Below are 15070 nucleotides of genomic sequence, written 5' to 3'. Positions count from 1 at the left end.
AAAAAGGTTAAAAAGGCCATACTTATAGCAGAAAAAAATAGACTGTAAATCAAAAACTGTCACAACAGACATATCGACATTATATTATAGTAAGTGGTTCAATTCACAAGGAAGATATAAAAATTCTAAGTACACATGCAGCCAACATCAGACCACTCAAATATATGAAGCAAACATTAATAGAACTGAAGGGAGAAATAAATTACAATTAATAATAGGAGATTTTAACTTCAGCTTCAATAATGGAAAGAACATCCAGACAGATGATCAGTAAGGAAACAGGACTTGAACAATGCTCTAGATGAAAGGGACCTAGCAGACAAAAATAGAATATATCATCTAACAACAGCAGAATACAAACTCTTCTCAAGCGCTCATGGATCAGTCTCCATTGTAGATCACAATTTAGGCCACAGAACAAATCTTTAAAAATCTAGGAAGATTGAAATCATACAAGTTATCTTTTCTGACTACAGTGAAAATAAACTAGAAATCAATAACAGACAGAAAATTGGAAAAGTCACAAATATGTGAAAATTAAACACACTCTTGAACAGCCAATAGATCAAAAAAGAAACCAAAAGGTAAATTAGAAAGTATCTTGAGATGAATGAAAATTAAAACACAACATATCAAACATATGGGATGCAACAAAAGCAGTACTAAGAGGGAGGTTTATAGTGGTAAATGCCTACATCAATAAAGAAAAATATTAAATAACCAACATAATTTTCACCTTGAGGAACTAGAAAGGGAACAAACTAAGTCCAAAGTTAGCAGAAGGAAAGAAATAGTAAAGTCTAAAGCAGATGAAATAGGTGAAATAGGGTATGAAAAAAAAAAGCAGAAAAAAATAATGAAATGAATAGTTTGTTTAAAAGAACAATAAAATTGACAAAACTTTACCTATACTAGCTAAGAAAAAAAGAAGACTCAAATCAATAAAGTCAGTAATGAAAGTGGGATGTTACATAGAAATATAAAGAATTGTAAGAAACTACTATGAAGAATTATACACCCACAAATTGGATAACAGAAGAAATAGATAAATTCCTAGAAACATATAAAATTGAATTTTGAAGAAATAGAAAATTTGGACAGACCTATAACTAGTAATGAGAATGAATCAGTATTCAAAACCTTCCCAACAACAACAGTAACAAAAAGCCCAGGACCAGGAGGCTTCACTGGTGAATTCCACCAAACACTCAAAAAGAATTAACACCAATCCTCTCACACTCGTCCAAAACCCTGAAGAAGAGAAAACACTTCCAAACTCATTTTATAAAGCTAGCATTTTCCCCATACCAGGACCAGACAGAGACACTACAAGAAAATAAAACTACAGGCCAATATTCCTAATAAATATGGATGAAAAAACCCTCAGCAAAAGGCAATAAACTGAATTCAACAGGATATTAAAAGGATTATACACCATCGCCAAGTGGGATTTATCCCTAAGGTTCAGGGATGGCTCAGAGTACCAAAAACAATCAAAGTGATAAATCATATTAACAGAATGAAGGATAAAAATAACATGATCCTCTTAATAGATGCAGAAAGACCCTTTGGCAAAATTCAACACTCTTTTATAATAAAAACCTCAAAAAATTAGGAATAGAAGGAAATTGCCTCAACATAATAAAGGCCATATTGAAGAGTTCACAGCTAACATATGCAATGTGCACAATTTAAAAGCTTTTCAACATAGCACTGGAAATCCTACAGCAATTAGGCAGGAAAAAGAAATGCAAGCCATCAACTCTGAAAGGAAGAAGTAAAATGATGACTTTTTGCAGGTATCATTTTATACGTAGAAAACCCTGAAACTACCACAAAAACCTTTTAAAAGTAAATAAATTCAGCAAATTTACAGAATACAAAATTGACACACAAAACCAGTTGAATTACTATGAATTTATAACATAATCCAAGAAGAAAATTAAGAAGACAATTTCATTTATAATAGCATCAAAAAAAAAAAAAAACAGCTTAGGAATCAACTTAACCAGGATGTGTGCCGTAATTCTAATGTGATTTGTCCCTGCCAGAACTCATGTTGAAAATTAATTGCATGTGGCAGTGTTGGGAGATGGAGCCTAGTGAGAGATATTTGGGTCATGGAGGTGGATCCTTTATGAATAAATTAAATGCCATCTTGCAGGAATGAGTGAGTTCTCACTCTTGTGGTAATAAAAGAGTTCTTGCAAGAGTAAGTTGCTATAAGGCAAGGTTTTCCCTTGTGTTTGGTCCCTTTTCACACAAACCTGCTTCCCCTTTAACCTTACATCATGTTATTATGCAGCATAAAAGCACTCACCAGAAGCTAGTGCCCTTCAACTTCATAGACTACAGAACCATGAGCTAAATAAACTTTTCTTTATAAATTACCCAGTCTCAGATATTCTGTAATAGCAATGCAAAACAGACTAAGACAAGGTGAAAGATTTGTACACTAAAAGCTACTATGTAGCGTTGAAAGATATTAAGAGAAAGATAGGGAGGCAATCCATGTTCATGGATTGGGAGACTAAATTTTGTTAAAGTATCCATTTTACCCAAAGCCATCTACAGATTCAATGCAATTTCTATTCACATCCCAATGTTATCTTTTTCAGAAACAGAAAAAAACAATCACAAAACGCATGTGGAATCACAAAGGACCCCAAATAGCCAAAAGAATCAAGCAAAAGAAAAACAAAGCTGAAGGCAACTCACTTCCTGACTTCAAAACATATTACAAAGTTCTAGTAATCAAAAATGTATGATACTGGCATAAATACAGGCATATAGACCAATGGAACAGAACAGAGAAATGTCTAGAAATAAATGCATGCATATAAAGTCCACTGCTCTTTGACAAGATATTAAGAATACACAATGGGAAAAGGATAGTCTCTTCAACATATTGTGGTAGGGAAACAGCGGTCTACATGCAAAATAATAAAATTGAACTCTTAATTTACACCATACACAAAAATCAACTCAAAATGGATTAAAGACTTAAAACATAAGACCTGAAACTATAAAATTCCTACAAGAGAAGATTGGCAGTGGAGGGGGCTTCATAACATTGGTCTTGGCCATGATTTCTTGGATATGACACCAAAAGCACAGGCAACAGAAACAAAAATAAACAAGTGGGAATTGGAACTCACTGGCTTCTCCCTTCCTTTGCACAGTCATCTTCAATTACAGGGCTACTTAATTCTGTAGGCCAAGGCTCAATCCTAGGCTTCCTTATATCCCACTGTCTCCTTAGGGATCTTACTAAAACCAGTGACTCCAATTGTCCCTTTTTGTCTGTCTCCCACAAATTTTATCTCCAACTAGCCATTTTTTCCTGAGGTCCAAGATTATAAATCCAACTACGTATTTGACAGCTCTGCTTAGAAGTCTCAAGGACACCTATGACTCAATGTAATAGCTATCATTTACTGAAAACTTACTATGGGCCAGTATAATGAATTCCATGGAAGACAAGCTGGAGGGAGCTACAGGTGAATACCAAAGAGATTCTAGAGTTCTAACCCATTTCAAGAAGTCAGGTAAGGCGTCCTAGAAAGAATGAACTATTTAGCTAAGACCCGAAGAATAAGCATCATTAATCAAATAAAGCTGTGGGAGTGAAGAGAAGGTACCATCAATAAGAGTCATGTATCCAGAGATTCACAGTTAAAAGCTCATGGATAACGTGCTCAATTATTTAATGCAGACAGACAAACATTACCTGATTCTTCCTCTCTGTCTAGGTGCTAACCTAATGTATTTCTTTCCTTTACCATCCATCTTCTTAAAACATAAACTACATTTTCTGTTTACTTTTTTATTCTTTAGTCATAACAAATGGACTTTTAAAGTTTTGAGAATGTTCTTTTTAGGATCCTTAAACCTAATAGCTTCTTCCTAATTGATGTCTATGCATTTGAACATGCTGGCCTTGTATTGTCAGATGGTCTACTCTACTGACTCATTTATGATGTTATTACTCTAGTTCTCTTCTTCCTTCCCTGCATTGTCTCTGTCTTTTACTCTCGGTCCTCCTACTTGACTTCCCGTTAAGTGTGGTTTTTACTAAGGTTCTTTACTACAACCCTCATCATTTCTCACATTTTGCATGCTCTTGGGGCATTTTATTTTTGTTTGTGGGGGATCTCATCTTTGTCCATGATTTTATCATATATGTGCAATTCATTTTCAAATATATAGCTCCAAATTCACTGTTTTCCTAAATCCCAGATCTTTTCACTCCCACTGGTATTCTTCAATTTCACAAACTCAAAATATCCCAAACCCAACTCATATACCCCCAAAACATGCTTCTCTTTTCTATCTAATGTAATATCACCATCTGTCTCTACATAAGCTCAAAGGAGAAATTTGAGATTTAACCACAGCTACTTCTTTTCGCCACTCACAAAACCCAATTTATTAACAAATCTCTGCTGACTGTATAAATATTTCTTTAATTTTTCTATTTTCTCCACCCCAAACTTCCTTAACCACAGATCAAACTCTCATTATTTTGGCTTCAGATGTTTTATAAACCAGCTAAAATTGTACTTAAAATATTAAATATGTCTTTTTCTCCTTTTAATTTATATTTCAAACAAATAAAAGTACATAAAATGTGAAATATTTTGACAAAAGATCCATAGATATTATCACATTCCAAAATGGGTCAATGATCTCAAGGTAAAGATCACCTATCTAGACCAATCCTATCTCCAAACTTAATTTTCTCATGACCCTCAATTTAAAAAAACAGAGTACACAGCAATATATGTCTGTTAATTTATAAATGATGCATATATATTATGCCTAATCTGTATAGGCAATATTACAAAGGCTAATTTCTTTTTTTGAGATGGAGTTTCACTCTTGTTGGCCAGACGGGAGTGTGATGGCATGATCTCAGCTCACTGCAACCTCCACCTCCTGGGTTCAAGAGATTCTCCTGCCTCAGCCTCCCGAGTAGCTGGGATTACAGGCGCCTGCCACCACACCCAGCTAATTTTTTGTATTTTTAGTAGAGATGAGACCAGTTGGTCTCAAACTCCTGACTTCAAGTGATCCACCCACCTTAGGCTCCCAAAGTTCTGGGATTACAGTTGTGAGCCACCACGCCTGGCCCAAAAGGCTAATTTCTTAAGTAAAAAATAAAGCATTAAAACAAATATTAGTTCTAATATATTTTTACTTTATTACAGTGGACCAGGTTTGAGCATACTATTATGGAAACCCTGACTTAGATAATAAATTCAAATCTAACCATCCTTCCTTTACCAGAGTTATCTTTTACTACCTTAACTTTTTGCTTAAACTGTTAATGTTTACCCATTGTCTACTAAGATAAATTAAAAATACTTATCAAAACATATAAGACTGCTGCAACTTTCTCATAATCAGTTTTCTAGCTTCATCCTCCCCCTGACTTTTTCTTTGTACTTTTTCTTTTACTCACCCATTCCCTAAATACATTGAGAATTCTCACCCATTTTTGATTTTGCCCATGATGCTCTCTCCATATCAACCTGTCAGCTTTTGGCCAAATATTCTAACCATCTCTGAGCCTTCTGCTTCTCCTCCAAGCTCTCCTTTCCTAAAATGAGGAAGGTGATGTGGATCATCAGCACTGGATTCTCCATAAACATTTTTCAGCGACTGTCCACCTTCTGCTCCTTTGACCACACAAAGGGTAACAATATCATCTTATACTTCTCTTTTCATTTATATGTGCTTGTGTATTTTATTAATACACATATCCAATACAGTCTTAGACTGCAGAACTGTAAGTAAGCTTAAAGAGTAGGTAAATCAATGCCTTTATTTTTACAGATGAGGAAACTGAGGCTCAGAGAAACAAGAGAACTTACTGGACAGCTTCGTTTATATATTCTGTAGCCTGTTCTACCAAATTGCATTTCCTTATGTTTTTCTTACCTATTAAGCCAATAAAATATGGGCTATTGAAGGAAAACCTTTACTCTCTTGTATCCTCTGAGATTAACTCCACGAGCAAGAGTATAGTAGACCTTTGTCACAGCTGTATCCTCAGAGAGTATATCTGTTTTTATTTCTTCAATGCACCCTCTATTAAAATTATAAGTTTTTAGCGATAATAAATACTAAACATAGACATATATTTGAGATCAGTAAATGCAAATATTAATTCATATAAATATAACTGCTATCTTTGTATATCCATATTCTTGAGTCTAAACTTTCTTCACATTCAGAGATTAAAGTCTCTTCAGCATTTTTGCCTTTCGGTAGGCACATGGATCCTCAGACCCATAATCACAATATTGATCTCTTCATTACTCTTGAATGACAATGTAATTTCACAATATATAAAGAATTCTGGATTTTCCCTGTGTTTTCTACTTGGTTAAACTAATTTTTTATATCCCCCCCAAATTCATTCAGATAGGCTTGACACGAAGAGTACTGATATTTTGAATTTCATGTCATCTTCTCGTTTGACAATGGTAGGAGATGATATGATGTGGTCTTTGCATTTTTGCATATCCCATGGATCTAGTCTAGGAGATTTGACAGTTTCTACGTGATTCTTATGTGTACATAAGGACTTGCTCTAAGATATGGCCACATAGGGCTATCTTTTCAATAAATACTTCTTGAATGAGTAACTAAGAGCAAGAAGAGTTGGGCTATAATTCTCAATCCAACTTCTATCCCTACTAGGTCATGTTGAAGTGCCTCTGTGAACGTAATTATGCTCATATTGCGGCAATGGGTCCTATTAAATTGCTCTGTGTTCTGGGCTTTACATAGCATAATACCCCAGATAAGATTATAGTTAAGACCTTCTTAGTATTAATAAAGAAACCTAAAGGGTAAGCTTGTTGCTAAAGCCCTAATAAATCTTAATGTCAATCAATGACAAGATGCAAAAGTCACAAGCCCCCAACAAGAACAGTTTTTTCATCTAAAATATCCATATCAAAATAATGGCATATCTCAGATTCTTGTAAGAATCAATATAAAAAAGAAGAGAGAAAGTGGAGCCAATAAATGTTTAAGGAAGGAGATAACGGCCAAAGGAAGCAAGAAGGAAAGACAAGTTTCAGCAGGAAAACTTGTTTATTAAACTTTTATGTTTTCATTGAAATGTACTATTACCCATTATATGTTTGATTATTTTTAAGGTTTTTGGTGTTTAGAACATCTCTGAATCATGATGCTGACCAAAAGCCCATGCATTTGAGTATGGTCTAAAGAAAGAATATAAGAACAGTGGAAGGCAGACTGAGCCATGTGAGAGGGCAAGCAACCAGGAAAATATGTTGTTGGACTCATGTGCAGCCCCAGGACTTCTCCTGTCCCTCAAAATGTTTGGCTGGAACCAAGTTGTTTTGAGCAAGCGTTCCTTAAAGGTATTTGTCTTCTATTATTAATTGCCCCACATGGGCACTGTCAGGCCACCAGTAACTTCCAAAACTTTAATTTCAGATGAGTAGGCAAGGGGAAAGAATTTCAATGTCACCCAGTTTGGAAACAGAAGGTGGTTTCCTGGGTCTTCAATACCAGAACAAGTGTGTATTTTGTGAACTGATAGGAGACCACAGATATTCAAAGATTCAAGATGATGCAAAGCAGATTTTATGTGCAGGGATTTTTTATGTCTTTAAAGAGAATACTATTGACACTCAGTTTTACTTTCAGAGAAGACTAGGATTTAAATGGCAATGGTATACTTCCCCTCTTTATATCATTTTGGGGCAAAAATTATCTTTGTCCAAATATTCAGCTAGCAATGTCAAAGGATAAAAGTAAAGAATGCCTAATATCCAAAAATAAAAATATAGTGAATACTGTAGGTTAAGTGGAGGAAAGCTATTAGAAAGAAACTCAGAGGGTTGCAGCCAGGGAGTGACAGTAAGAAGGCAAGTATACCAGCCTCTGTCATTTTGACAGCAATTGACTAATTTGCTCCAGGTTTTCTTGAGGTTTCTTTCAGTGTATTTATAACCATAAAAGCATTTCTTTTGGTCCCAAGATAAAAAAGCTTTTTACGCAATAGTGCATATTTCTAATGTTTCCATTGTCAAAACTGCCATCAAAGAGGGTTAGGGGAAGGAATGTCACCAACGCTATGAATCGGATTGGGCATTTGCTTTACCAAAGCGCTGGTTCAGAACTTAACCTAATTCCTATTGCACAGTTGATAGTCGACAGAGGGAAAAATGCTTTTTGAATGATTTCATCTTTTCTGATACCATGAAGAAGGAAAATATTTTAGACACCAATGTCCTAGGACATTTTATTCTCTAACCTGGTACCCAGAACTCATGCATGCATACTAGATTAGACACAAGGGAAGAGGCAGATGTCCAAAGGCTTAAGCGAATTCAGATGTTTTTTCTGTTTTTTATTAATACTGTACTCCAGCTGTTACATCTTTATACTGGTAAAGTCTCAATCAACACACAGGGTGAAATAGCAGAAGGTAGAGGTGTTCTGGAACATCAAAGGGCCAAAATGATATTTTGCACAAAATTAAAGATAACACCTAAAAACTGGGACTGGAAATTTCCACAGGTTGGCAGTTTTCAGAAGGAAAGAGTTACTGAACCTTATCCTCCTACTGGAAAATTAGATAGCAGTCTCATGACTCTACTGACCATTGGGCAATCCCCCATTGTCCTTAAATAAGATTGTGCCCAAGAAAATAAATACCAAAAGAGAGATAAAGTGAAAACATACATTTTTTTAAGCCTCTCTCACACACAAATAAAGTAGACCACAAGAATGAACAAAGTTTAACAACAGCAAAACAAATTAAAAGAAGTACCAGCCTTTGCTTTCCTGGAAGCTACATGATGCCCAATGATGACAAGCGAGATGTTCATTTTTAGTCTAAGAAATGTTTTCCTAGGACAGCTGGAGGGCATGGCTCAGTGGTCTGAACATCTTGTTTGATGTACCTAGACTCCTTGGAGCCATGTGCTGGAGTACTGGTGTGATTTGCTTAACTCTTCAGTAGAACTAAACAGAATTCCCAATTCTTTAGTGTGTGGTTCTCGGGAAGTTTGGGGAGAGATGCACTCGCCCTGGTTCTGCTTGGAGATAAAAGAATGCAAAGGATTAAACTTGACACTTTAGCCCCAAGTTACTTTCTTTTGATTGCTTACTGTCACTGGAATACCATATTTGTTGTTTATGTAGGGTCTTTCATTTAAGGATTTCAAAGTAGTCGCTGACACGGTCTGATGGCAGAAATGAACAATGTTCATTTAAGAATGAAAAAAATGAGACACCAGAATGCCACAGTAAGTTAAAGGGAAAGAGAATAATGAAATTCAGTTCACACATTGGAATGTGCACTCATTTTTTAGGACAGAGTTTTCTGGGGGAGGATACAGGTCAGATCAATGTGCATCTTGCATCATAAATAAAGAATTCAGTAAAGTGCTATCTCCAGTAAGGATAGTGATCAATCTGAAAGAAAATAAATTTAATAGCATTTTTGAGCCTTAGTTGTTTAATTTTCAAAATGATAGAAATAATACCCACCTATCCAGGTCCATGTAAGAATAAAATGACATCTGAGAATGGGCTTCACACATAATATGTGATCCAAAAATGTTACTCTCTTTTTTATTTTGACCCACAAGTATAGCATTATATAGTAAGCCTTTAAGACCTTCTTATCCCCACAACAAGAGGTGTGGAAGAGAGTATTTTTAGAGTCCTGATGGCTGAATCAAGTAATCTGGAAGTGACAAGCAGAGCTTCCTTCGCTTGTGCTGTCCTCTTTAACACAGCACAGCCTCCATTCTCTTATTCATTCCTTTACATATTCAATACACATTGAAGTGCTTGTTACGTGGTAAGTACTGGGGATAGCAAAGGCAATAAGTCAGACCCTCACAAGTGGTTTAAGAGTCTAGTGAAGACAGACATACTTGTATACAAATAATTACAAGGCAGAAAGATGAATAACACAACAAACTAAAGACAGCCAGAATATGACACATTTTCTTTTACTTACCAGTGTGTTCTACCCATATCAGTTGTTCAGGAACATATTTTCTGCAGTCAGCTATTAATAATGATCACAATTAGCATATAATCTCCTTTATCTGCTATACAACACAATTGTTGTCATCATTCATCACAGTGTTGTTGAGAGAATTATGTGAATTATTTCCATATCAAGCACTTAACACAGTGGCTGGCACATATAAAGCATTCATCAATATTATTCCATTATTATAATTATCATGGTGATATCATAATCTGAACATCATCATTATGTCATCATTAAGAATAGAAACATGTTGTGTTCCAACAAGCTTAAAAATGAGGTAAGGTCACTCGGGATGGATATGAAGTTAAGGTCTAGTCCCATATATACAATCAAAAGAGTCCTCAGATAACCCATAGACGCTTGATTTACTCAACCCCAACCTCAGGTCCAAGAGTGAAAGAGTCTTTGTATTACAGCTATTCACAAAGGTAAATTAAGTGAACAGTCACCTTAAAGGGCATTTCAAAAGACCTCCTAACAAATTCCTCTCAATTATATGTACTGCAGTTCTCTGAAATTCCTTTAGCAGGATATTCAGCTTGATAATGATAAATACCCTTGGAGAAACCAAACATATCTCTAAAGCAGTGGTCCTCAACCAAAAGGATATTTTTCTCCCTCTCCCCCAGAGGACCAATGTCTGGAGACATTTTTCATTATTACAACAGGGTAAGAGGAAGTGGACAAAATACAGGTGGTACTAGCATCTAGTAGGTGAAAGCCAGAGATGTTGCTGAACATTCTTCTATGCACATGATGGACCTCTCAGAATTATCTGGTCTAAAATGTCAGTAGTAACAAAGTTAGAAAAACGTTGCCCTAAAAAATATGTACTTATTTAGACCTACTTAGTTAGACATTTCTATTCTTTATCCTTGTACCATAATTTCACAGCATGATGTAGTATGTGATTGAGCTATGTCTTCCTGGAACAAGAATAAATGGTGGGATATGGGTTGGAGAAGGGATGATAAGCAAAGGACAATTACTTCATAAGGAAGCACAAGAAAGGAATTCAGAAGTGAAAATATTCCTATTTCCTATTTTACCCAAAAGCAATCTCAATGCCTTTCCTTGCAACAAACATTTTTAATGGTGTAGAATGAGCACATGTAAGTGCTTCATAAATTCCCTCTAGATGATTAATTTCCACTGTAAGTCCATGTCGCATTTTGTCATGTCCCTGAGGAAGATCACACTAGGCTGTTGAAGATTCAAGGGTTTGTATAATCGAGCATCTGCTGTGTAGAAGGCACGGTTCTAGATGCTTGAGTTATCAGTGTGAACAAAGCAAAGACACCTCTCCACGTAGAGCTCACATTCAATCAAGTTTTAAGTAAAGTTCAAGGAATTCTTGAACTTGAATGCCTCTACATATGGCATTATAGTTTTCCATCCTATTTATCTCTCTTGACTCAAAAAAAGAGAAATCAGTTCTAAGAAAGTTTTTACCTCCCTTAGATATTAATCTATTTCCAAGGCAACAAAGAAAAATAGATTGCAGGAACAAGTCTATCTTTTGCAGATCATTGGTTACATAAGGTTTGTAGTTTGTAAGAAACCAATATGAGGAAGACATCCAAGCCTGGGTAAGTTACTCCGGTCCAGGTTAAAAGAAACATAAGTGGAGGATTAAAAAATCTATTCTACCTCTTGCCATGTCTTAGGAGAAAGGCTTCTACAACAGGACAACTAGTAGCTTTTGAAATAGCCTGCCATGACTGTGTTAATGGTAAAAAATCACTTAAGCATTTAGTTTTTATCTGCATTACATTTGAAAGCACAGGGCCATTTACTCTGAATTCTCTCTGATTATTATCAGTAATAGCATTTAATCAGCCCTCCTATAGTCCCAGTCTTGGAAGATCAACGACAGCTTGGACTTGCCCTGTTCTTGTCCTATAAAATCCTGGAATGTATTCAGGCAGATAAATGTTACCTGCTTCACAGTTCTGTGAGGATCAGTACCCACAGAGGCAGCAATGTCACTGGGAGGTTTTGTGGGATTCTCCTGTCCCCATATTTTTCTAATAGACTTTTACTCATTTGAATGCTATTTTGAACTACGGAATTATTTTCATGCCTCTAGACTCTGCATTACATGTAGGAAGGGACTGTGATTAAATTATTTTTCCTTAGCAGCACCTAGCCAGTATCTGGTATCCATAAATATCAGGTAAGTACAATTAACCAATGGATTTATTAGTACATGGATGGAGCAAGAAGATGGCAGCCCAAGAAATCCTGAAAACCCCAGAAAAACAGAAATCAATTATTAATAAGCTTATTGGACATTTCCTTTAGGCAGAAATCTAGGGAAAGCTCCTCACAGCTTGTACCTCACATTCCTTATCCTGGTAAACATTAGTAGAATTAATACCCTTTTCTTTCCTCTGCTTCTAAAAGCCAAGTACTTAATATATTTATGAATAGACATTTATTTGTGGAGCTTATAAGATGGATGGAATTCCATGAAGAAAAGCAAAAAGGATTTGCACTAGAGTCTGATGATAAGACCCTGAGGTCTTATTCCACTGAGGAATATGGTACTTCTCATTCTGTTTCCTGGCCCCCTACAGGGCTTCTGCAAACCAGAAACCCCAGTATCCCCTGGAGCCACCAACAACATGCATTTGAAATCCTTTGGTTCTGTGGCTTGGTCTAGGACCCAACTTAAGCAAAGAATGCCACACATTTATAGTAGCATTTATATAGGACTATTTGTATCTTACATTTCACTTCTGTAATTATTATACTCTCTAAACGAAATAGAGTGGTGAGGCTCATGTCAAAGACTGTTCATAAATCATTAAAAACAAAAGAAACATGATGCGAAGTCTTGAGCCTTCTACCTCACAATAAGCCTCAGAGTATAATTCATTACTTCTAAGCTTTGCACCCAGGAGCGCTGGATACCCTATGGCTGTACCGAAAGAGTTCCTGGAGGCCATCAATCAGGCCACACAGGTTACTAGTTTCTGTTCCACTTTTAGGTCTTCCCACCATTGCATAACACTCATCCATTGGGCATTTTTAAGTTCAAAAATCTGTGATATCTTCCAGCAAGGGATCAGAGTATATGCTATGTGGTTTAAGGTCCTGACATGAGGAATCCACAAAGCTAAGTTAAACCAAATGCCTGTGCCTTTCATTAAGATGTTTTATATGGCTCTGAGAGGCCAAGTCTAAACTTAACCTTTCACATAAGTCCAGGATTTAACTTCTACTAAATCAATCTATGTGATCAAAGACTTTCAATGATCAGAGAAGACTGAAGAAAAAAGTGGATGGAGTAATTAGGTCTTGAAATGAGTAATTTGTATGAGATCAGAGAAAGTTGGAGAAATAATTTTAAAAATTAGGTAAGGGTGGGGATTCAATGTTTTACTTGTTCATTTTTGTGGTTTAGGGAGTGATGTTTGAATGGCAGATCACTGTATAAGTGATCACAAAATCAATTTAGTGGAGCACCAGCCAGCATTTTTCTAATCAAATAGGCAATTTTGAGAGACATTTTGCATGTGTGCAGTTAGGGGTCACAACATAAAATGTGTTTCTATAAAAAGTCTGAAGCCCATTGACCTAGAAGATGTATACTGTGTACATTATGAGGTGGGAGAAGCTTTTTCAACTTTTTTTGAAACTTTTTTGGAACAAGTGAACACTGTCATTTCCTGACCTGAATTAGTACAGCCCTTCTTCCCTCCAAAGGAGTCAACCGGTCTGTTGATTAGTTTCCCTGTTCTGCAGGATGGGGCAATTGCTATAGGTGAAAGAAGGTTGCCACATGGCCTTAGGAAGTATCTTAAACTCCCTATAGATGTTCCTTCATCTAAAAAATTGGGAACACTATCACCTACTTCATAGAGTTTCAAAGTAATAACCAATGGCAAATAAAAGCATTTGACACAGTTCCTGATACAGAATAAGAAATTAATACGTTTTCTTTCCTTGTAGCTTTTTATTCAGGGGAAAAGATACCTTCTCCCATTTTCATCGTCCCTCTAAATAGACAGGGTCACCTCTCACATGCTGCCCAGAATTGGGACACTGTGACATTGTCAAATGCTTTTCTCCTGTCAAGTTAATGAAGGATTATGCCCGGCCCTTCTCCCTGGTCAGCACAGCTTGCTTGTGGAAAAATCAGAAAATATCTAAGAGTGCTGAGAACCAGCTCTGTACAAAAGCAATTTTCTCCAGCTGCTATGAGTGAGGGCAGCTGTAAATCACTCAATTCATTTGCATTTATACTGCTTTAAAAAGTGGTGGTGTTGGGGAGATGGAGGGAAACCTACCCAATGAGAAATGGTACCCCGGGACAGAACAGAAAATGTTCTCAAAATCACCTCTGTGTTTGCTCAGTGACAGGCTCTTCCCTGCCCAGAAATCAGGGGGCAGGGGCAAGACAAGGTTGTATCAAACTCTCTCCCTCATAGAGGAGCTCTCAAAATTAAAATACCTATCTCATAGAATCAATATGTACTCATTACCTTCACTTGATTTTCCTTTGCAAACAGAGGGAAAAAATTACAAAGATTGCTTAGTAGTTTTGTAATGCCTGATACATAAAACGGAATATAATACTCATACTGTTACTTGATGGCCCCATTGACTTTTGCCATCTCAGTGACATTTACTCTATCCCTGAGCAATTTAAGATAAGCTAAGCCAGCAGCTGGGGAGACCCCAGCTGTAATAAGCCTGATGTCCTTGCTTCATCGAAGAGAAAGCCCATGGGGCCAGATCCAAACATCCAAATCGAGAGAAAATATTTTCCACTACCAAGGACAGATAATCAGAGCTGTGCTAAACCCAGTCTCTGTGGCATTCTTACTTTCACATTTCTCGCTTGGGGGTAAACTGAGGTCACACAAAGAATGTCACAGGAAATTTACTGGGAAGAACCTTGCATTTTCGGAAATTATTTAACTCTGGAAATGAATATGTGTGGTCAGTGGAGACAGGCAAAGGAGGCCTGTTGGAGCAGTCTTCCTCTGAGTCGGTGCTGTCACA

The 15070-nt window shown here is 36.4% G+C and overlaps 1 long non-coding RNA gene across 1 annotated transcript in view; it reads right to left on the bottom strand.

Moving 5' to 3' along the window:
• LOC107986931 (uncharacterized) overlaps positions 1 to 15070 on the bottom strand; it is a 290196-nt gene that overhangs the window by 59152 nt on the left and 215974 nt on the right. The gene's annotated exons all lie outside the window — the stretch shown is intronic.

This window comes from Homo sapiens, chromosome 8 (genome assembly GCF_000001405.40).
Source record: "Homo sapiens chromosome 8, GRCh38.p14 Primary Assembly".
NCBI lineage: Eukaryota > Metazoa > Chordata > Mammalia > Primates > Hominidae > Homo > Homo sapiens.
The sequence above is the reverse complement of the archived record's forward strand: the minus strand, read 5'-3'. Positions and strand labels throughout refer to the sequence as shown.